This window comes from Homo sapiens, chromosome 12 (genome assembly GCF_000001405.40).
Source record: "Homo sapiens chromosome 12, GRCh38.p14 Primary Assembly".
Taxonomy (NCBI): Eukaryota; Metazoa; Chordata; class Mammalia; order Primates; family Hominidae; genus Homo; species Homo sapiens.
Window position 1 is genome coordinate 103,212,596 of NC_000012.12, and position 17,919 is coordinate 103,230,514.

At 42.3% G+C, this 17,919-nt stretch overlaps 1 protein-coding gene across 6 annotated transcripts in view, besides 3 other annotated features; it reads right to left on the reverse strand.

Moving 5' to 3' along the window:
* Nucleotides 1-17,919, reverse strand: part of C12orf42 (chromosome 12 open reading frame 42) — a 516,167-nt gene that overhangs the window by 164,972 nt on the left and 333,276 nt on the right. The window lies entirely within an intron of this gene.
* Nucleotides 7,571-8,947: an enhancer, noted in NCBI's record as "VISTA enhancer hs1723". NCBI's record gives its function as "enhancer in: midbrain (mesencephalon)[7/8] | forebrain[5/8]" and the evidence as "EXISTENCE:transgenic organism evidence [ECO:0001131][PMID:17130149]".
* Nucleotides 9,206-10,187: an enhancer, noted in NCBI's record as "OCT4-NANOG-H3K27ac hESC enhancer chr12:103615579-103616560 (GRCh37/hg19 assembly coordinates)". NCBI's record gives its function as "activates a minimal SCP1, AML or CMV promoter by ChIP-STARR-seq in naive H9 embryonic stem cells {active_cell/tissue: H9 hESC(naive)}" and the evidence as "EXISTENCE:reporter gene assay evidence [ECO:0000049][PMID:30033119]".
* Nucleotides 15,520-16,100: an enhancer, noted in NCBI's record as "OCT4-NANOG-H3K27ac hESC enhancer chr12:103621893-103622473 (GRCh37/hg19 assembly coordinates)". NCBI's record gives its function as "activates a minimal SCP1, AML or CMV promoter by ChIP-STARR-seq in primed H9 embryonic stem cells {active_cell/tissue: H9 hESC(primed)}" and the evidence as "EXISTENCE:reporter gene assay evidence [ECO:0000049][PMID:30033119]".

A 17,919-nucleotide genomic window follows, 5' to 3' on the forward strand; every position in this document is an offset into this window, starting at 1 on the left:
ATGACATCTGTTTGTCTCTCTTTTTGTGATGTTAGTAGCTACCAAAAGTCATTGTCTATGTTCATTAAATCACTGGGAGTTGAGACATAGTAGAATGTTAATTCTATTATTTTATCGTTATTAGCATAGTTAATTCTATTATTTTATCATTATTTATCATTATCATCATACTTCCCTAAAAAAACACTTGTCCTTACTACTTATCCAATTTGGCTATCCTGAAACATAGTATCTATGATTATTGTAGGCATCCTCCTGACTTTAACAATAAACATTTGGCTCCAGATATGTTTGAAACTCATTGATAACCTACTATTCTGCAGTTAGATACACACACGCACTACATATATATATATATGGTGTATGTATGCATATATATATATAATTAAGACATTATACTACTTTAAGTGATTATATTATTAAAGTTCTACAATAATGAAAATACTATGCAAACTTTGGATGTTTTTACCAAATCTCAGAATAAGGTCACAATTTAAAATGCTGGAATTAAAAAAAATATTTTAGGTCACAATCAAAGGCAGTATTGCTCAAAGCTGAAGAATCCTTAGGCTTATGATGTGCCAGGTACTAAGTACTTTCCATAAGAGATCTCATCCTCTTAACAATAGTACAGTGCTACTGTCATTCCCATTTCACAGAGGAGGAAACTGATGCCAGGAGAATGACTTGCCCAAGCTCAAGTAAGTGATAGGATCAGGATTGGAACTTATGGTGTCTAACTCCAGATCCTACTCAAGATTATCATTGCTTTCAACCACACAAAAATTTTGTAAATCTCTTTATTGAACAGAGATTAGGCATCTCTCCCCAAATCAGCTAGCTAGACTCTAGAAGGGCTTGAATTAATTTGGGGATATGTGTTCTTGTGTTCAAAGGGAAGCATGCATATCTAAAGCATAAGTGTTTATGCTTCACTAGCATAGCAAAGCATATGTCCTCAGTGCCAGCAAAACAGAAGCCATCCCAGGAACACTGGCCAGCACTCCTTCCTCTCCCCTGGATCTTCGTGCAGTTGTACCATCTTTAGTTTTCTCGAGGAGATTCAACACACGGGTGCAAAAAATGAAAGTCAAGGATCAAATAGGAAAATCTGTCCAGAGGAATCTAGGGATCTGAGAAAAACTCACCAGAAAGTTTCCGATTGCTGCAGTTCTACTGTTTCATTTTTGACCATGGACTATGAGTCCCCCAGCTGTCTTTTCCCCATAATTTGTATTTAAAATCTGAGTTCTCTGCCTTTGGACTGAGTCTGGGGTTTTCAATAGGACAGAATTTCATGAATCTCATTTTCCATGGATTGATACCCAGCACATGAGCTGAGAAAAAGTGGACCAGCTTATTTTTAAGTCCTGTTTGTTCAACAATGATCAGATGAAAGGACAATGATCATGATTAACAATGACAATGATCACTAATGCTCTTTAAGTACTTCCTTAACAGAGTTTGGCACTTTTCTAAGCACTTTGTATGTAATACCCCATTTAATATTCAGGTGGCTTAACTTGAATACTGAACTTGTTCCCATCAAGTTTGAACAAGGAGCCTGTTCTCTGAATAATTACACTATAGCTTCCATGACTGGATGCTTGTGCCTTAGAATATTAGCTTTGTCAGATATCACAGAAGATAAAAAGAAAAATTTCATTGTACAGTCCATTAGTACAAGTCTGTAGTTTCTCCTTTTCTTTTTGTCCTGTAGGGATGATTTGGGGGCTATTCAGATGCTTCACGAAGGCTTGTTGAATGATGTCTATCTTTGTGAGGAAGAAACAGAGGCACAGAACAATGGTCTGAACATCCTCCTTTCCAAATTACTGACAAATGCAGTTTCTACTGACTGGGTCCCACCTCACTTTAGTGGGACCAGCTCAGTTATCCCCGCACGGAGATCTGGTTTATCCAGCAAGTGGCATCCTAATTCAAAAGACGGGCCAACAAGCTGTGATTTTAAAAATTTATCCTGAGTAATAAGATTGCTGATGTAAGAGCAAATCGAGATCACCCCAAGAAAATCAAGTTCTCCCCAGGGAAGATATTTTAGGGGGAAACATCTCCATTGCCCTTATTGGTTGTGTGGAAATAACGGTCATAGTTAAGGGAGTCCACTGAAAATCCCAAGAGATTTTCTCCAACTTAGCGGGATGAGTCTATTGAATTGCTTATCACTATTTCTGTTGCATCTTTCCAAGCTTGGCCCATGGAGGGAGGGAGTTTTTGTTGATGCCGTGCCACCATCACCATCCCCTGACATCCTGACCTCTTTACTTACCTTTCCTAGACCAAACCTCACCAAAATTGTCCAAATAGTTTTCCTTCTCTGCAGAAGGCTGCACCATGTTCCCAGGAATAAATCTACTATGCAACATTCCTCTCGAGCAAGAATATTCTCTATATACCAAAGACAATACTCTGCAGTGGCAGTTCATTTGATTTAGCAAAATGATTCTTAATACATATTTATTGCATGGAAGAGAAAGTACTAATCTTTCCCAAAAGACAAAGGGGGAAATCTCAGTGCAGGGGAAGAAATAAACATGTCTTGAACCCCCATTTGTGCCACAATATTGTTCTGGATGTTTTATTATATTAATACTAACACTTTATTATATTAATACTAACACTAACTCTGACACTGATACTAATAATAATGATTATACCAATACTAATGCAAATATAAATACATATATTAATATTAATACCAAAACTCATATATATATACTAATACAAGTATTAATAAAAATCTGATAATGACACTGGTGCTAATAAAATATTTCTCAGGGATTTTTCTGCATGGAAGGACCTCCACTTGAGTATCCCTCCTGGCCTCTTACCCCATCACTTCTGTATCCCTCTCCACAGAGAAGGAATGAGTAACCTAATGGATGAGTAACAGCCTCTGATCAATTAAAAGGCTATAACCCCCAAAGATTTATTCTCTTTTCATCTCTCTTTGCCCAGACAGCATCTACAAAAGGCAGTAATCCTGGATAAGAGATTCTGCTCTGTCCTTCACACTTTGTATAAAGGCTGGGATTTCAGGGCTGGTGCCTTCAAAGAGGAAAGCAAGCCAGCCCATCTGAATGATCAAGAAAGTGCACCCTCCAACCTAGCTCTATCCATAGCAAAGCTGATGCTGTGATGTCCACCCTTAGACAGAATGAAAATGCCTGAGCCTTGGAACACAGTACTCAAAAGAGAAATAGAAATGAGACTTTCTAAACATGCTGGATGAGAAAGAAAAACCTGGGAATAAGGTTTCCTCTGCTGCAAATTTCTAAATCTTCTAAGAAGACATAAATATCTCAAGTGTCTCCCTCTCGGAGAGGAGAAAATAGAGTTCATTCTCACAGAGTGCATTCTCTCATGTCATGCCAGCCTACCATATCAAAAGGCAAAAATGATGTTGACCTAATTTCTCGAAGGGAGAGTTCTCCCAGTTGTGGTCAAAGTCACCGATCACAGATTCAGAGAGAAGTTTGGACTCTCTGGCATACATACTGACCAAGAAACTAAGATAAATTTTCTCTCTGTCTTTCCTTCTTCTCTCTAATATGAGCCTATGGTCTTTGGCAACACAATTATTGGATTCTAGGAATAGGATTCTTTCTGAGGTGACAGCTCTAGGGAGTATGGATTCGCTTCTTTGCAGGTTTGGGGTCAGATGTATAATTATTTGTGTTCTGTTATTTCTTTTTACACTTTAAAATGTGAAATTTCAGACCCAGAATTCTCTCTGGTGGAGAACAATACTTTTTTTTCTTTTTTTTTTTTTGAGACAGAGTCTCGCTCTGTCACCCAGGCTGGAGTGCAGTGGCACAATCTCTGCTCGCTGCAGGCTCCACCTCCCGGGTTCACGCCATTCTCCTGCCTCAGCCTCCCGAGTAGCTGGGACTACAGTAGGCTCCTGCCACCACGCCTGGCTAATTTTTTTTTGTATTTTTTTAGTAGAGATGGGGTTTCACCGTGTTAGCCAGGATAGTCTCGATCTCCTGACCTCGTGATCCACCCGCCTCGGCCTCCTAAAGTGCTGGGAATGGAAAACAATACTTTTTTAAGATCATTGAAGTTTATCTTCACAATATAGAATCCAATAAGGAAGGCAGGGTGTGTCATTTTGGTCCCATTTTTCAGATGCAGAACCAAACCCAGAGATCATGTCCATTCCCCAAGGTCACACTGAGGACAAACACCAAGTCCTCCATTGTAAGCCAAGACCTAATTTCTTTTTCTCTCTTTCTTTTTTTGAGATGGAGTCCCGCTCTGTGGCCCAGGCTGGAGTGCAGTTGTGAGATCTTGGCTCACTGTAACCTCTGCCTCCCAGGTTCAAGGGATTCCCCTGCCTCAGCTTCCCAAGTAGCTGGGAATACAGGCACGCACCACCACCCCTGGCTCATTTTTGTATTTTTAGTAGAGACAGGGTTTCACCGTGTTGGCGAGGGTTGTCTCAAATTGCTGACCTCAAGTGATCTCCCCGCCTCGACCTCCCAAAGTGCTGGGATTACAAGCGTGAGCTACCACTCCTGGCTGACAAGACCTATTTCTCTGGTTAACATGGTTATAAAATTCTGGTCCAGAACACATTGAAGTGCTGAAACATGCTTGTTAAAAGAAGCTGCTTCTTAGATGAGTGCAGCGGCTCACACCTGTAATCTCAGCATTTTGGGAGGCCGAGGCGAGAGAATCACTTGAAGCTAGTTCAAGACCAGCCTGGTCAGCATAGCAAGACCCTGTCTTTACAAAAAAACACACAAACAAACAAAAAATTAGCTGAGTGTCATGGTGCATGCATGTAGTCCTAGCTACTTGGGAGGCTGAGGCAGGAGGATCCCTTGAGCCTCAGAGGTCGAGGCTGCAGTGGGCCATGATCATACCACTGCCCTTCAGCTTAGGGGTGACAGAGTGAGACCCTGTCTCAAAAAAAAAAAAAAAAAGCTACTTCCAAAAAATTAGATATAACTCCTTTTTCTGCTGTTACTGCTCACTCCAGAACACCGTACAGATCACAGACACATCTCCCCATGCTGTGCCGGCTACTTTCCTACTCAAAACCTTCATGAGAGGCTTGCCACTACTTACAGAACTCAGTCTGAAGCTTAGTGTGCAGTGAAATGTTTTTCACAAAGAAAGAACTGCTATTCCTCTCTATATATAGTTATATATATTTGCTCACAGCCTTTCCTTCCTTGTAGAGCCCCCCTTACTCCCATGCTGCATCAATCTGTCCCTTCCTAGTGTGGTCCCAGGGGTCCTTGCTAACATCTTTCTTATCAGAGCCCCTGGTTATCTCACTTACTGTTGAAATCCTGACACATTTCTTGTCTATACCATTCATTTGTTGCTGCATATCTCATCATCCCTTTTCACTTATAGAAACGAAATCCTCGGCCAGGCACGGTGGCTCACGCCTGTAATCCCAGCATTTTGGGAGGCGAGGTGAGTGGATTACCTGAGGTCAGGAGTTCGAGACTATCCTGGCCAACATGGCAAAACCCGTCTCTACTAAAAATACAAAAATTGGCTGAGTGTGGTGGTGCACTCCTGTAATCCCAACTACTCAAGAGGCTGAGGCAGGAGAATCACTTGAACCTGGGAGGCGGAAGTTGCGGTGAGTGGAGATCTCACCAATGAACTCCAGCCTGGGCAACAAGAATGAACTCCGCTTCAAAAAAAAAAAAAAAAGTCTTTCTTTCTCCCCACTAGAATATACTCTTCCTGAGGTCAGGAAAAATAGACTAAACCTGGTTTTAGCTACAGACAATGGTTGCACAATATTGGCACTTAATAAAATAATTTCAAGTTGACAGTGATGTCCTCTGAATATTTACTCCCTGTACACTCTTTGACCTCTCTAGTACTGAGCATAGGGATTTGAATTGGTGCCACTAAATACTAGTGGCAAACTGCAAAACCGAAGTATTCTGGGAAATGCTTCACTGGACTCTTGCATCTGTCTTAGGTAATTCTGGTACTACCCAGACACGGCAGGCAGAGGCAGAGGTGTCTACTTTTTATTTGAATTGTGGAGTCAGGCTGTGGACTGTGACAAGTGGCTCAGGATTTTGGCTCAAAAGGAGAAAATATATAATCATCTCTGTTACATGCACTAATAAAGGAGAAATATGAGGCAGAAAATAAGAAAAGCTATTTGTCCTTTCTGGTCATTTCCACAGTAGATTGACCTTTCCAATTTACAGAATGAGAATTGCAAAAAATTAAAAAATAAAAAAATCTTAGCAAGAATCTTATTAACTGCCATTTTACATTTGAATTGTTACCACAACCCTGTTATGCAATCTCTGAACACGTAGAAGAGATTCCCTCAGGTGTCTACACCACCAGGGCCCTGGGTTTCAAGCACAAAACTGGGTGGCTGTTTGGGCAAACACTGAGCTAGCTGCAGGAGTTTTTTTTCATATCCCAGTGGCACCTGGAATGCCAGGGAGACAGAACTGTTCATTCCCCTGGAAAGGGGGCTGAAGCCAGGGAGCCAAGTGGTCTAGGTCAGTGGATCCCACTCCCATGGAGGTCTTGACTCTTTATCCAATTTGCCAGTCTGTGTCTTTTAATTGGGGCATTTAGCCTGTTTCCATATGCAGAAAACTGAAACTGGACCCCTTCCTTACACCTTATACAAACATTAACTTGAGATGGATTAAAGACTTAAACATAAGAACTAAAACCATAAAAACCCTAGAAGAAAACCTAGGCAATACCATTCAGGATATAGGCATGGGCAAAGACTTCATGAGTGAAACACCAAAAGCAATGGCAACAAAAGCCAAAATTGACAAATGGGATCTAATTAAACTAAAGAGCTTCTGCACAGCAAAAGAAACTGTCATCAGACTGAACAGACAACCTACAGAATGGGAGAAAATTTTTGCAATCTATCCATCTGACAAAGGGCTAATATCCAGAATCTACAAGGAACATAAACAAATTTACAAGAAAAAAACAAATAAGCCCATCAAAAAGTGGGCAAAGGATATGAACAGACACTCCTCAAAAGAAGACTTTTATGTGGCCAACAAACATATGAAAAACCGCTCATCATCCCTGGCCATCAGAGAAATGCAAATCAAAACCACAATGAGATACCATCTCACACCAGTTAGAATGGCGATCATTAAAAAGTCAGGAAAAAACAGATGCTGGCAAGGATGTGGACAAATAGGAATGCTTATACACTGTTGGTGGAAGTGTAAATTAGTTCAACCATTATAGAAGACAGTGTGGCAATTCCTCAAGGATCTAGTACCAGAAGTAACATTTGACCCAGCAATCCCATTACTGGGTATATACCCAAAGCATTATAAATCATCCTACTATAAAGACACATGCAAATGTATGTTTATTGCAGCACTATTTACAATAGCAAAGACTTGGAACCAACCCAAATGCCCATCAATAATAGACTGGATAAAGAAAATGTGGCACATATACATCATGGAATATTATGCAGCCATAAAAAGGATGAATTCATGTCCTTTGCAGGGACATGGATGAAACTGGAAACCATCATTCTCAGCAAACTAACACAGGAACAGAAAACCAAACGCCACACGTACTCACTCATAAGTAGGAGTTGAATAATGAGAACACATGGACACAGGGAGGGGAACATCTCACACCAGGGCCTCTCAGGGGGTGGGATAGCATTAGGAGAAATACCTAATGCAGATGACGGGTTGATGGGTGCAGCAAACCACCATGGCATGTGTATACGTATGTAACAAACCTACACGTTCTGCACATGTATCCCAAAACTGTAAGTATAATAAAAAAATAATAGATAGAAAAGGGAGAAAGACTGACCAATAAATATATATATTTACAGATTTTTTCATGAAACTGACTTTCATTTGTAGACATGTCAGATTATACAAAAGATCTCTTTTTATACATTTTTTAAAGGGTGGAAGCTTCAGTTCAATAGCGTTCGTGAGAAAATCCTTTAAGCTGTGTCAAAATGCCAGTTATCCTAAATGCCACCCAGATTTGAATAATTTAAAGAGAGACAAAACACACACAGAAAGAGGGAATCATCTTTTGACGACCATTGCTTTTGACGAGTCGGCCTCCCCCGCTCCCTCCCTCTTTTCTGAAGTATCTTCCTCTCTCTATCAGTGGTGACAACTGCCAGTCAAGCCTTCTGTGGCTGAGGGAGGAGGAGGAATGGGCAGGGGAGAAGCCAAGGGCAGGAGAGAGGGGAAGAACATGAAACATTCTTGAACAATTGCTCAAGGAAGATTCCCTGTCAGTGTGTGGTCTGGGGAAAAGAAGTCTTTTCCTTCTTTCATTTCTAATCTCTAACTGACTATTTATCTCTTTTTATAAACTTGAATCTCTCTGTTGCTCCAAAGGTTCCCAAACAAATCGCCAGTCAGCCAGGATTAACCTGCTTTGTTGCTGACGATTAGCAGGTTTGCTTGTAGTTTTAACATCTTCAGCAACAGCTGAATGTCAAACGATTCAGGAAATACTTGTCTTATTTTGTCCAAAGCCATATACATGTTTGAAATAAGCTGAGAGAAAGATACCACACAGAGAGGATTATAGAACATTTCAGAGAGATGGAGTTTGACATGAACAACTGAGAACTCTATCAACACTTGTACTTCTGTTGTTTTTATGCCACCATTTTTTTTTAAGTGTTATATTTTGGTCAACTCCCTTTCCCAAAGAAAAATCTGTAAATGTCTATTTGAATGCCAAACTCTATGAGATGAGCACATTGTAATTTACAAATGCTCATAGCATTCATTTATTGAATATCTACTGGGTGCTGAGTACTGTGCCAGAATCAAGTCCAGTCTCAGTTTTCAAGAGCCTTCTATTGCATTCACTTATATGTCCATTTCAGCATTTAATCTTTTTTAAAAAGCAATTAAATTACTTATGACTCTGTGTTACTTGCAAGACCCTGAAAGACAAAGACTATGTCTTCCTTCTCTACCATCCCTTACTGTGTTGTTTCTTATTAATCTTCTAAATGTTAGTTACTCAAGAGCATCTCTTCCTTTTAAGCATCATGATACAGAGAAAGGCATTGGTTTGGAATCAGGGGCTCTGGCTCTAGCACTACCTCATTTTATGGCCGTGGACAAACCCATCCTTCAGTAAGCCTTTGGCTTTCAGCATTTATAACGTGAGGAGAGTTCTTTTCCATTGTTCCTTGCAATGCCAAAGTCTGTGATTCCTTGACCTCAGGGCAAGGAAACTGAATAGCAAGGCTGAGGGACACCTGCCCAATTTTAACCACCTTGAAGACAGGATTTGTCTTCTTCATTGAACTCCCTGTGTCAACAAACATAGTGTCCTGCAGTAAAGGTCTACACACTTGAAAGGAACTCAAACTAGGAGTTTGTGAAGCAGAAAAGGAAACAATTTGGTAGGCATCAACATGGTCCTGGGAGGTAAGCCATAGGAAGGGCAAGATGAGAGCAGGCCCAAGATGTCATATGCATATTTTTGAGTTAATCAGCAGCCACCATGTTTTTCATGCGCGTCCCTGTGAAGAGACCACCAAACACGCTTTGTGTGAGCAACATGGCTGTTTATTTCACCTGGGTGCAGGCGGGCTGAGTACAAAAAGAGAGTCAGCGAAGGGAGATAAGGGTGGGGCCGTTTTATAGGATTTGGGTAGGTAAAGGAAAATTACAGTCAAAGGGGGTTTGTTCTCTGGCGGGCAGGAGTGGGGGGTTGCAAGGTGCTCAGTGGGGGTGCTTTTTGAGCCAGGATGACCCAGGAAAAGGACTTTCACAAGGTAATGTCATCACTTAAGGCAAGGACCGGCCATTTACACTTCTTTTGTAGTGGAATGTCATCAGTTAAGGTGGGGCAGGGCATATTCACTTCTTTTGTGATTCTTCAGTTACTTCAGGCCATCTGGGCATACACGTGCAAGTCACAGGGGATGCGATAGCTTGGCTTGAGCTCAGAGGCCTGACAATGTTCATGGCGTGTGCAGATAGGAGTGGACAATCTCATCAGGGCCTTGCAGGTGAGACTATAGGAAGTGAGACTGGGGATGAAGGGAAGGCTTCTGTCCTGGTATATCTTGAAATACTTTCTATACAAATGTAAATTTACATATTTCCCTTGTACTGAGTATATTTTACTACATTTTTTCTATAAGAGCAATTTCTCCTATCTCTGTATGGATGGATCTACTCTGTCCCCACGCAGATGTCCCATATCAAGCCACTAATACAATAATGATCTCACCCTGTGTAGGGTATAAGAAGCATTCTAGATCAAGCCCAGGAGTTTGCCACTCTCACTTGGGAATCTTGCTCTGTTATTTCTCTCATCTTTTCCTCTACTTTCAGTCTCTTCCTCTTCACTGGCTTCTTCCATTCAGTCTACAAACATAATCTCATTCCATTCATTCATTGATTTCTTTATTCATTCATTCACATTAATTGCACACCTATTATACATAGTGTATAAAAATAATTACTCTTCCTCAACAACATATGTTCTCCTCACTTCAAGCAGATAGACATTCCTGCCTTCTTATATTAATAAGAAAAATAAAACAAAATAGTGTTGAAGTGTTGGGGTGGCGAAAATTTTTGGGGGGTGGTATGGAGAGAGAATGGGCGATGTTTCTCAGGGCTGCTTCAAGTGGGATTAGGGGCGTCGTGGGAACCTAGAGTGGGAGAGATTAAGCTGAAGGGAGGTCTTGTGGTAAGGGGTGATATTGTGGGGATGTTAGAAGAAACATTTGTCGTATAGAATGATTGGTGATGGCCTGGATATGGTTTTGGATGAATTGAGAAACTAAATGGAATAACAGAAGGAGAAAAACAGGTATAAAAGGTCCAAGAATTGGGACGACTCAGGATATCTGATTAGAGAGTGCCTAAGGAGATTCAGCATAGTCCTGCCAGCAAAGATTATTTATTTACTTCAAGAGTTAAGAGTGGCAGTTTGGTGATAGCACCAGGAGATATCAGCTGTGGTGGCTTGGGAAAACAGTGTAAACCGGCAGTGTAAACAAAAGCAGGGCATTTATGAGTAGTTGAGAATGGTGAATAGGAGTATGACTAGACAGAAGATAGTAGGGATGACAAGTTTTTTGGGGCACAGTCTAAGTTGGTCTGGTGTCTGCAATGAGACTGGGGCCTAATAAAAAGGAGCATCTATACAGGAGCTTAAATGGGCTGTACCCTGTAGCATTCCGAGGACAGGCCTGAATTCTGAGAAGGGAAAGTGGTAAAAGTAGTGTCCAGTCCTTTTTGGTGGCTGAGCTTGGTGAGGTGTGTTTTTAAAAGACCTTTAGTCCATTCTATTTTTCTTGAAGACGGAGGACCGTAAGGGATATAAAGTTTTCACTGAATACTAAGAGCCTGAAAAACTGCTTGGCTGATTTGACTAATAAAGGCTCATCTGTTATCAGACTGTATTGAGGTGGGAAGGCTAAACTGAGGAATTATGTCTGACAGAACGGAAGAAATGACTGCGGTGGCCTTCTCAGACCCTGTAGGAAAGGCCTCTACCTATCCAGTGAAAGTATCTACCTAGACTAAGAGGTATTTTAGTTATCTGACTCAGGTCACGTTGAGTAAAGCTAATTTGCCAGTCCTGGGTGGGGCAAATCCTCGAGCTTGATGTGTAGGGAAGGGAGGCGGCCTGAATAATCCCTGAGGAGTAGTAGAATAGCAGATGGAACACTGAGAAGTTATTTCCTTGAGGATAGATTTCCACGATGGAAAGGAAATGAGAGGTTCTAAGAGGCGGGCTAGTGGCTTGTACTATAGCATAACCTGCCTTTGCTGGTGTGTGGCGATTAGGCCTGGTGGAACCGCCATCAATAAATTAAGCGTGATCAGGGTGAGGAACAGGAAAGAAGGAAATTTGGGGAAATGGGGTGAATGTCAGGTGGATCAGAGAGATACAGTCATGGGGGTCAGGTGTGGTATCAGGAATAATGTGGGAGGCCAGATTGAAGTCTGGGCCAGGAACAATGGTAATTGTGGGACTTAAAGAGTGAGTACAGCTGAAGGAGCCGGGGAGCAGAAAGTATATGCGTCAGGTGTGAGGAAGAAAATAGATTTTGGAAGTTATGAGAACTGTAGAGAGTGAGTTGAGCATAGTTTGTGATTTTGAGGGCCCCTAAAAGTATTAAAGCAGTGGCAGCCACTGCACACAGACATGAGGGCTAGGCTAAAACAGTAAGGTCAAGTTGTTTGCACAGAAAGGCTACAGGGTGCAGTCCTGGCTCTTGTGTAAGAATTCTGACCACACTATGCCTAGGAAGGAAATGAGTTGTTGTTTTGTAAGGGATTGAGGTTTGGGAGATTAATCGGACACGATCAGCAGGGAAAGCACGTACGTTTTTATGAGAATTATGCCGAGATAGGTAACAGATGAGGATGAAATTTGGGCTTGACTGAAGTAATGGGGGCTGTCTATGAAGCCTTGCGGCAGTACAGCCTAGGTAATTTGCTGAGCCTAATGGGTGTCAGGGTCAGTCTAAGTGAAAGCAAAGAGAGGCTGGGACAAGGGGTGCAGGGGAATAGTGAAAAAAGCATCTTTAAGATCAAGCATGGAATAGTGAGTTGTGGAGGAAGTTATTGAGGACAAAAGAGTGTACTGGGTTGGGCACCACAGGGTGGATAGGCAAAACAATTTGGTTGATAAGGCGAAGATCCTGAACTAACTTGTAAGGCTTGTCTGGTTTTAGGACAGGTAAAAATGGGGGAATTGTAAGGAGAGTTTATAGGCTTTAAAAGGCCATGCTATAGCAGGTGAGTGATAACAGGCTTTAATCTTTTTAAAGCGTGTTGCGGGACGGGATATTGGCGTTGAGTAGGGTAAGGGTGATTAGGTTTTAATAAGATGGTAAGGGATGCATGATCGGTCACCAAGGAGGGAGTAGAGGTATCTTATATTTGTGGGTTAAGGTGGGGGGATACAAGAGGAGGACGCAAAGGAGGCTTTGGATTGGGAAGAAGGGCGGCAATGAGATATAGCTGTAGTCCAGGAATAGTCAGGGAAGCAGATAATTTAGTTAAAGTGTCTCAGCCTAATAAGGGAACTGGGCAGGTGGGGATAACTAAAAAGGAGTGCTTAAAAGAGTATTGTCTAAGTTGGCACCAGAGTTGGGGAGTTTTAAGAGGTTTAGAAGCCTGACCATCAATACCCACAACAGTTATGGAGGCAAGGGAAACAGGCCCTTGAAAAGAAGGTAATGTGGAGTGGGTAGCCTCCATATTGATTAAGAAGGGGATGGGCTTACCTTCCACTGTGAGAGTTACCCGAAGCTCGGCGTCCGTGTTGGTCTAAGGGGCTTCCTAGGCGATCGGGCAGTGTCTGTCTTCAGCCGCTAAGCCGAGAAGATCTGGGAAGGAGTCAGTCAGAGAGCCTTGGGACAGAGTTCCAGGGGATCTGGGAGTGGCTGCCAGGTGAGTTGAACAGTCCAATTTTCAGTGGGGTCCCACACAGATGGGACGTGGCTTAGGAGGAATCCCAGGCTGCGGGCATTCCTTGGCCCAGTGGCCAGATTTCCAGCACTTGTAGCAAGCTCCTGGGGGAGGAGGTTCTGGAGGAATGCCTGGCTGCTGCGGTTCAGGCGTTTGGAAGTTCTTGTGTGCTGGAGATGTGGCTGGGGTTTGTCTCACAGAGGAGGCAAGGAATTGCAACTTTTTTCTGTTATTGTACACCTTGAAGGTGAGGTTAATTAAGTCCTGTTGTGGGGTTTGAGGGCCAGATTCCAATTTTTGGAGTTTTATTTAATGTCGGGAGCAGATTGGGTAATAAAATGTATATTGAGAATAAGACAGCCTTTTGACCTTTTAGGGTCTAGGGCTGTAAAGCATCTCAGGTTGCTGCCAAACGAGCCATGAACTGGGCTGGATTTTTATATTTGATGAAAAAGAGCCTAAATGCTTCTGATTTGGGATAAAGAAAAAGGAGCATTAACCTTGACTATGCCGTTAGCTCCAGCCACCTTTTTAAGAGTAAATTGCTGGGCAGGTTGGGGAGGGCTAGTCACGGAAAGAAACTGTAAGCCCGACCAGGTGTGAGGAGGGGAAGTGATAAAAAGATTATAGGGCGGAGGAGAAGAGGCTGAGGAAGAATTGGGACCTAGCTCAGCCTGGTGAGGAACAGCCTGGGGAGGAAAGGAGAGGTCAGATGGGTCTGTAGAAAAGGAAGATTAGAAAGACTCAACGACGCTTGTGGTTGGTACTGAGGGGACAGGCGGGAGGGAAAGAAGGAAGGTTTGGGACGAGTTGCACTGGGCACAGAGACTAGGAAGGGACTGATGTGTAAAAGAATGCCTGGACGTCAGGCACCTCAGACCATTTGCCTATTTTACAACAAGAATTATTTAGATTTTGCAGGATGGAAAAATTCAAAGTGCCATTTTCTGGCTATTTGGAACTACTGTCGAGTTTGTATTGGGGTCAAGCGGCATTGCAGAAGAAAATAAGGCATTTAGGTTTTAAGTCAGGTGGTGAGTTGAAGAGGTTTTAAGTTTTTGAGAACACAGGCCAAGGGAGTAGAAGGAGGAATGGAGGTTGGAAGGCTGCCCATAGTGAAGGAAGCAAGCCTAGAGAAGAGAGTAGAGAAATGGAGGGAAGGGGTTCAGGGGTTCTTACCTTCCAGAAAAGTGGGAACAGGGGTTGGGGCTCAGAGATAAGAGGTCGGGGCGTGGAAATAAGGGACTAGGGTGCAGAGATATAAGAGGTTGGGGCACGGAAATAAGGGATTGGGGTGCAGAGATAAGAGGTCGGGGTGAGGAAATAAGGGATTGGGGTGCAGAGATAAGAGGTCGGGGTGTGGAAATAAGGGATTGGGGCAGAGATAAGAGGTTGGGGTGCGGAAATAAGGGATTGGGGTACAGAGATAAGAGGCTGGGGTGTGGAAATAAGGGATTGGGGGTTCTTGCCCCATAGAAAAGTGGGACTTGCCGCTAAGGGTGAAGGAGAAGCGGTTGAGGGGTACTTGCCCCTCTCCCAGAAAAGCAGAGAAGGGTTAGAGACAAGGAGAGAAGGGGTTGGGGTACTTGCCCCTTCCCCAGAAAAGCGGGACTTGCCGCTAAGGGTGAAGGACCAAGGCAGGCATCCCTGTGTGGTCTGACACCCTTGAAACGTGGGTGTATAATCAGAGAGGCGTCCCTGCAATGATTAAACACCAAGGGAAGCCTGCCTTCCCAGTCCATGACCGGCGCCGGAGTTTTGGGTCCACGGATAAAATGTGTCTCCTTTGTCTCTCCCAGAAAATGAAAGGAATTGAAATTAAGAGAAGGGAGAGATTGAAGAGTGGAAAGGAGAAAGTGGTTGAGGGACAGTGAGAGAGGTTGGAGAAGAGAGTAAGAAGAGGCCACTTGCCTGATTTAAAATTGGTGAGATGTTCCTTGGGCTGGTCGGTCTGAGGACTTGAGGTCATAGGTGGATCTTTCTAATGGAGCGAAGAACACGAGTACAGGGGATTGATCTCCCAAGGGAGGTCCCCTGATCAGAGTCACGGCACCAAATTTCATGTGCGTCCGTGTGAAGAGACCACCAAACAGGCTTTGTGTGAGCAACATGGCTGTTTATTTCACCTGGGTGCAGGCGGGCTGAGTCCAAAAGAGAGTCAGCAAAGGGAGATAAGGGTGGGGCCATTTTATAGGATTTGGGTAGGTAAAGGAAAATTACAGTCAAAGGGGGTTTGTTCTCTGGCGGGCAGGAGTGGGGGTCGCAAGGTGCTCAGTGGGGGTGCTTTTTGAGCCAGGATGACCCAGGAAAAGGACTTTCACAAGGTAATGTCATCACTTAAGGCAAGGACCGGCCATTTACACTTCTTTTGTAGTGGAATGTCATCAGTTAAGGTGGGGCAGGGCATATTCACTTCTTTTGTGATTCTTCAGTTACTTCAGGCCATCTGGGCATATACGTGCAAGTCACAGGGGATGTGATGGCTTGGCTTGGGCTCAGAGGCCTGACAATGTTCATGGCATGTGCAGATAGGAGTGGACAATCTCATCAGGGCCTTGCAGGTGAGACTATAGGAAGTGAGACTGGGGATGAAGGGAAGGCTTCTGTCCTGGTATATCTTGAAATACTTTCTATACAAATGTAAATTTACATATTTCCCTTGTACTGAGTATATTTTACTACATTTTTTTCTATAAGAGCAATTTCTCCTGTCTCTGTATGGATGGATCTACTCTGTCCCCATGCAGATGTCCCACATCAAGCCACTAATATAATAATGATCTCACCCTGTGTAGGGTATAAGAAGCATTCTAGATCAAGCCCAGGAGTTTGCCACTCTCACTTCTCACTTGGGAATCTTGCTCTGTTATTTCTCTCATCTTTTCCTCTACCTTCAGTCTCTTCCTCTTCACTGGTTTCTTCCAGTCTACAAACATAACCTCATTCCATTCATTCATTGATTTCTTTATTCAGTCATTCACATTAATTGCACACCTATTATACACAGTGTATAAAAATTATTACTCATCCTCAACAACATATGTTCTCATCACTTCAAGCAGATACCCTCTTCTTCTTTCTCACTGGGATCAAAGTGAATTAATGAGAATATCTTCAGTATCCCTTTCTTCATTGTAATTCTCCACATCTGCCTTCCTTCCTGCCTCTTCACTTTTGTCTTAAAGGAGGATATTTCCGGTCTTCATTTATCAGTTAGGATGGTTTCTGCATGCCTCTTAATAAGGAAATGTATTATTTCACATAGCAGGAAGTCCCGTGATAGTACAGGCTCCAGGCAGAGTATGACCAATGCTCTGGTTGCTTTGCTTTGAGATTCTCTCAGCGATTCAAAAACACAAAAGCAAGGCAGTGGTTGTGTTTGGGAAGGTGAGGGAAGAGAGAGAATGGAACAGTAAGCAGGGATCGTCAATTATATTTATAATTATTTATTTAAGCTGGTTTGTGTGTACTTGGGTATACATTAGTCTAGTCTTACCATTTTGTGTGAAAAGAAACATAAGATTTAAATATATTAATACAATGATTATTTGTAACCACATCCAACTGAAGAGTGCTTCTGAAGTCCCTTGTGTTTCCTTCCACATTTTTATTTTCCATCCAGACTCCCAGAGGGAATGACTATATGGAAGTGTGTGAATCTTTGAATTTTATGTAAATTGAATAATTCTATATCTCATTTTTTACTTTTATTCTTCTATGACTTGACTTGTTTCTCTAACATAGTATTCTAGGATTCATATATGCTAATGCATATAGCTACAGTTCATTTGTTTTCAGCAATAAATAGTATTTTATTACACAAGTTAGCTACAACCGAATCCTGTGGGAAATGTCAAGAAGCCACCACATCCGAGGAGTGAGAGTTTTGAGGCATACCCATGAAGTTTGCCAGAGTTCATGAAAAAGTTTGTAAACCTGACAATTTGATAAAGTTTGAGTTTATTGAACATATATTACTGGTCTATGCTGCAAAACAAATTATTGGCTAAGTGATTTGTTTAAATGATCAAATATTAATTACATTGAATTTAAATTATTAAACATATTGGCTGAAAACAACACACAATTATTATCTCACAATTTCTATGAACCAGAAGTATGGGCACAGCTTAGCTGGGTTCTCTGCTTGGTTTTCACATGGCCACAAACAGCATGTTAGCAAGGGCTGAGTTCTTATCTGGTGGCTTGGCAGAGAAAACTACTTGCTTCTAAGCTCCCTTGGGTTGTTGGAAGAATTTTTTTTTTTAATGGCTGAAGGAGTCATAAAATGTTCCTTCTTCAAAGCCAGCAACTGACAGAAAGAACTACTCTAGAGCAAGCTGGCTTGGTACCAAGGAGGAGTCTTATTTAATGAAATATAGTCATGGATGTGATAGCCCTTCATCTTTGCCATAGTCTATCACTTAGAAGAAAGTATCAGGATCCACTCACACTCAAGAGGAGAGGA